Source organism: Homo sapiens, chromosome 8 (genome assembly GCF_000001405.40).
Source record: "Homo sapiens chromosome 8, GRCh38.p14 Primary Assembly".
NCBI lineage: Eukaryota > Metazoa > Chordata > Mammalia > Primates > Hominidae > Homo > Homo sapiens.
Genome location: NC_000008.11, coordinates 45,963,244 through 45,969,243, shown reverse-complemented (window position 1 = coordinate 45,969,243; position 6,000 = coordinate 45,963,244). Strand labels below are relative to the sequence as shown.

The 6,000-nt window shown below is 37.1% G+C and overlaps 2 annotated features.

Moving 5' to 3' along the window:
- Positions 4,586-5,119: an enhancer, noted in NCBI's record as "OCT4-NANOG hESC enhancer chr8:46875747-46876280 (GRCh37/hg19 assembly coordinates)". NCBI's record gives its function as "activates a minimal SCP1, AML or CMV promoter by ChIP-STARR-seq in primed H9 embryonic stem cells {active_cell/tissue: H9 hESC(primed)}" and the evidence as "EXISTENCE:reporter gene assay evidence [ECO:0000049][PMID:30033119]".
- Positions 5,120-5,655: an enhancer, noted in NCBI's record as "OCT4-NANOG hESC enhancer chr8:46875211-46875746 (GRCh37/hg19 assembly coordinates)". NCBI's record gives its function as "activates a minimal SCP1, AML or CMV promoter by ChIP-STARR-seq in primed H9 embryonic stem cells {active_cell/tissue: H9 hESC(primed)}" and the evidence as "EXISTENCE:reporter gene assay evidence [ECO:0000049][PMID:30033119]".

The following is a 6,000-nucleotide window of genomic DNA, read 5'->3' as shown; positions in this document are numbered from 1 at the left end:
TTGCTCCAAATATCCACTTGCAGCCATTACAAAGAGAGTGTTTCAAAAAATGCTCTATCAAAAGGAAGGTTCAACTCTGTGAGTTGAATGCTAACATCACAAATTACTTTCTGAGAATGTTTCTGTGTAGTTATTCTATGAAGATATTTCCTTTTCTACAATAGGCATCAAAGCCCTCTAAATATTCACTTGCAAATTCTACAAAAAGAGTGTTTCAAAACTGCTCTATCAAAAGGAAGGTTCAAATCTGTGAGTTGAATGCACACATCACAAAGTAGTTTCTGAAAATGATAATGTCTAATTTTTATATGAAGATATTTCCTTTTCTACCATAGGACTCAAACCACTCTGAATATCCACTTGGAAATTCTACAGAAAGAGTGTTTCAGAACTGCTCTATCGAAAGTCAGGTTCAACTCTGTGAATTGAATGCACACATCACAAAGAAGTTTCTGAGAATTCTTCTGTCTAGTTTTTATACGTAGAAATTCCCGTTTCCAACGAAGGCCTCAGAGAGGTCAAAATATCCACTTGCAGATTCTACAAAGAAAGTGTTACAAAACTGCTCTATCAAAAGGAATGTTCAACTCTGTGAGTTGAATGCAAACATCAAAGTAGTTTCTGAGAATGCTTCTGTGTAGTTTTTGAATGAATATATTATCTTTTCCAACATAGGCTCCAAAACGCTCTAAATATTCACTTTCAAATCCTACAAAAATAGTGTTTCAAAACTGCTCTATCAAAAGGAAGTTTCAAATCTCTGAGTGGAGTGCAGAGATCACAAAGAAGTTTCTGAGAATACTTCTGTCTACTTTTTATGTGAAGATATTACCTTTTCCAAAGAAGGCCTCAAAGTGCGTCAAATATTCACTTGCAGACTTTACAAACAGAGTGCTTCAAAACTATTCTATCGAAAGAAATGTTAAACTCTGTGAGTTGAACCCACACATCACAAAGGAGTTTCTGAGAATGATTCTGTCTGGTTTTTTTGTTTGTTTGTTTTTTATTTTTTTTTTTATTATACTTTAAGTTTTAGGGTACATGTGCACATTGTGCAGGTTAGTTACATATGTATACATGTGCCATGCTGGTGCGCTGCACCCACTAACTCGTCATCTAGCATTAGGTATATCTCCCAATGTTATCCCTCCCCCCTCCCCCCACCCCACCACAGTCCCCAGAGTGTGATATTCCCCTTCCTGTGTCCATGTGATCTCATTGTTCAATTCCCAACTATGAGTGAGAATATGCGGTGTTTGGTTTTTTGTTCTTGTGATAGATTACTGAGAATGATGATTTCCAGTTTCATCCATGTCCCTACAGAGGACATGAACTCATCCTTTTTTATGGCTGCATAGTATTCCACGGTGTATACGAGCCACATTTTCTTAATCCAGTCTATCATTGTTGGACATTTGGGTTGGTTCCAAGTCTTTGCTATTGTGAATAATGCCGCAATAGCAGCATGATTTATAGTCATTTGGGTATATACCCAGTAATGGGATGGCTGGGTCAAATGGTACTTCCAGTTCTAGATCCCTGAGGAGTCACCACACTGACTTCCACAGTGGTTGAACTAGTTTACAGTCCCACCAACAGTGTAAAAGTGTTCCTATTTCTCCACATCCTCTCCAGCACCTGTTGTTTCCTGACTTTTTAATGATCATCATTCTAACTGGTGTGAGATGGTATCTCATTGTAGTTTTGATTTGCATTTCTCTGATGGCCAGTGATGATGAGCATTTTTTCATGTGTTTTTTGGCTGCATAAATGTCTTCTTTTGAGAACTGTCTGTTCATGTCCTTCACCCACTTTTTGATGGGGTTGTTTGTTTTTTTCCTGTAAATTTGTTTGAGTTCATTGTAGATTCTGGATATTAGCCCTTTGTCACATGAGTAGGTTGTGAAAATTTTCTCCCATTTTGTAGGTTGCCTGTTCACTCTGATGGTAGTTTCTTTTGCTGTGCAGAAGTTCTTTAGTTTAATTAGATCCCATTTGTCAATTTTGGCTTTTGTTGCCATTGCTTTAGGTGTTTTAGACATGAAGTCCTTGCCCATGCCTATGTACTGAATGGTAATGCCTAGGTTTTCTTCTAGGATTTTTATAGTTTTAGGTCTAACATTTAAGTCTTGAATCCATGTTGAATTGATTTTTGTATAAGGTGTAAGGAAGGGATCCAGTTTCAGCTTTCTACATATGGCTAGCCAGTTTTCCCAGCACCATTTATTAAATAGGGAATCCTTTCCCCATTGCTTGTTTTTCTCAGGTTTGTCAAAGATCAGATAGTTGTACATATGTGGCGTTATTTCTGAGGGCTCTGTTCTGTTCCATTGATCTATATCTCTGTTTTGGTACCAGTACCATGCTGTTTTGGTTACTGTAGCCTTGTAGTATAGTTTGAAGTCAGGTAGTGCTATGCCTCCAGCTTTGTTCTTTTGGCTTAGGATTGACTTGGCGATGCGGGCTCTTTTTTGGTTCCATATTAACTTTAAAGTAGTTTTTTCCAGTTCTGTGAAGAAAGTCATTGGTAGCTTGATGGGGATGGCATTGAATCTGTAAATTACCTTGGACAGTATGGCCATTTTCACGATATTGATTCTTCCTACCCATGAGCATGGAATGTTCTTTCATTTGTTTGTATCCTCTTTTATTTCGTTGAGCAGTGGTTTGTAGTTCTCCTTGAAGAGGTCCTTCACATCCCTTGTAAGTTGGATTCCTAGGTATTTTATTCTCTTTGAAGCAATTGTGAATGGGAGTTCACTCATGATTTGGCTCTCTGTTTGTCTATTGTTGGTGTATAAGAATGCTTGTGATTTTTGTACATTGATTTTGTATCCTGACACTTTGCTGAAGTTGCTTATCAGCTTCAGGAGATTTTGGGCTGAGACAATGGGGTTTTCTAGATATACAATCGTGTCGTCTGCAAACAGGGACAATTTGACTTCCTCTTTTCCTAATTGAATACCCTTTATTTCCTTCTCCTGCAGAATTGCCCTGGCCAGAACTTCCAACACTATGTTGAATAGGAGTGGTGAGAGAGGGCATCCCTGTCTTGTGCCAGTTTTCAAAGGGAATGCTTCCTGTTTTTGCCCATTCAGTATGATATTGGCTGTGGGTTTGTCATAGATAGCTCTTATTATTTTGAAATACGTCCCATCAATACCTAATTTATTGAGACTTTTTAGCATGAAGTGTTGTTGAATTTTGCCAAAGGCTTTTTCTGCATCTATTGAGATAATCCTGTGGTTTTTGTCTTTGGCTCTGTTTATATGATGGATTACATTTATTGATTTGTGTATATTGAACCAGCCTTTCTGTCTAGTTTTTATATGAAAATATTTCCTTTTCTACCATAGACTTCAAAGCGCTCTAAATATCCACTTGGAAATTCTACAAAAAGAGTGTTTAAAAACTGCTCTATTGAAAGGAAGGTTCATCCTTGTGAGTTGAATGCACACTTCACAAAGAAGTTTCTGAGAATTCTTTGGTCTAGTTTTTATATGAAGAAATCCCGTTTCCAACGAAGGACTCAAAGAGGTCCAAATATCCACTTGCAGATTCTGCAAAAAGAGTGTTACAAAACTGCTCTATGAAAAAGGAATGTTCAACTCCGTGAGTTGAATGCAAACATCCCAAAGTAGTTTCTGAGAATGCTTCTGTGTAATTTTTCTATGAAGATATTTCCTTTTCCACCATAGGCATAAAAGCGCTCTAAATATCCACTTGAAAATTCTACAAAAAGAGTGTTTCACATCTGCTCTATCAAAAGATATGTATAACTCCTTGAGTTGAATACAAACATCCCAAAATAGTTTCTGAGAATGTTTCTGTGTAATTTTTCTATGAAGATATTCCATTTTCTAACATAGGCCTCAAAGCGCTCTAATTATCCTCTTGCAAATTCTACACAAAGAGTGTTTCAAATCCTCTCTATCAAAAGGACCGTTCAACTCTGTGGGTTGAGTGCAGACATCACAAGAAGTTTCTGAGAATACCTCTGTCTACTTTTTAGGTGAAGATATTACCGTTTCCAAAGAAGGCCTCAAAGCCAACCAAATATCCACTTGCAGACTTACAAACAGAGTGTTTCAAATCTGCTCTATCAAAAGGAATCTTCAACTCTGTGAGTTGAATGCACTCATCTCCAAGAAGTATACGAGAATGTTTCTTTCTAATTTTTATGTGAAGATAATTCCTTTTCCAACAAAGGCCTCAAAGGGAATAAAGTATCCACTTGCAGATTCTACAAAAATAGTGTTTCAAGACTGCTCTTTCAAAAGAAAATTTCACCTCTGTGAGTTGAATGCACACATCCCAAAGAAGGTTCTGAGAATGCTTCTGTCTGGTATTTATGTGAAGATAAACCGGTTTCCAATGAAGGCCTCAACGCGGTCTAAATATCCACTTGCAGATTCAACAACAACAACAAAAAAGTGATTCAAAACTTCTCTATGAAAGGAACGTTCAACTCTGTGAGTTGAATGCAAACCTCACAAATTAGTTTCTGAGAACGATTCTGTGTAGTTTTTCTATGAAGGTATTTCCTTTTCTACCATAGGCCTCAAAGCGCTCTAAATATCCAGCTGGGAATTCGATAAAAAGCGTGTTTCAAAACTGCTCTATCGAAACGAAGGTTCAACTCTGTGAGTTGAATGCACACATCACAAAGAAGTTTCTGAGAATGCTTCTGTCTTGTTTTTATTTGAAGACATTTCCTTTTGTACCATAGGCCTCTAACTGCTCTAAATATCCACTTGGAAATTCTACAAGAAGAGTGTTTCAAAACTGCTCTATTGAAAGGAAGGTTCAACTCTGTGAATTGAATGCACACATCACAAAGAAGTTTCTGAGAATTCTTCTGTCTAGTTTTTATATGAAGAAATTCCCGTTTCCAATGAAGGCCTCAGAGATGTCCCAATATCCACTTGCAGATTCTACAAAAAGTGTTTCACAACTGCTCTATCAAAAGGAATGTTCAACTCTGTGAGTTAAATGCCAATATCACAAAGTAGTTTCTGAGAATCCTTCTGTGTAGTTTTTCTAAGAAGATATTTCCTTTCCTACCTTACACCTCAAAACGATCTAAATATCCACTTGAAAATTCTACAAAGAGTGTTTCAAAACTGCGCCATCAAAAGAAAAGTTAAAATCTGTGAGTTGAATGCAAACATCACAAAGCAGTTTCTCAGAATGCTTCTGTGTGGTTTTTGGGTGAAGGTAATTCCTTTTCTACCATAGGCCCCAAAACGCTCTAAATATCCACTTGCAAATTCTACAAAAAGAGTGTTTCAGAAGGTTGAACACTGTGCGTTGAGTGCAGACATCACAAGGTAGTTTCTGAAAATTCTTCTGTCTAGTTTTTAATTGAAGCAATTCCCGTTTCCAACGAAGGCCTCAAAGAGTTCCAAATATCCACTTGCATATTCTACAAAAACAGTGTTTCAAAACTGCTCTATCAAAAGACGCATTCAACTCTGTGAGTCGAATGCAAATTTCACAAAGTAGTTTCTGAGAATGCTTCTGTGTAGTTGTTTTTCTATGAAGATATTACCTTTGCTACCATAGGCCTCAAAGCGCTCTGATTGTCCACTTGCAAATTCAACAGAAAGAGTGTTTCAAAAGTGCTCTATCAAAAGGAAGTTGCAATTCTGTTAGATGAGTGCAGACATCACAAAGTAGTTTCTGAGAATACTTCTGTCTACTTTTTATGTGAGGATATTCCCGTTTCCAAAGAAGGCCTCAAAACGCTCCAAATATCCACATGGAGATTCTACAAAAGAGTGATTGAAAACTGCTCTATCAAAAGGAAGGTTCAACTCCTTGATTTGAATGCACTCATCACAAAGAAGTTTATGAGAATGTTTCTTTCTAGTTTTTATGTGAAGATAATTCCTTTCCCAACATAGGCATCAAAGGCAATCAAACATCCACTTGCAAATTCTACAAAAAAGTGCTTCAAACTGCTCTATAAAGAGGAATGTTCAACTCTATGAGTTGAAT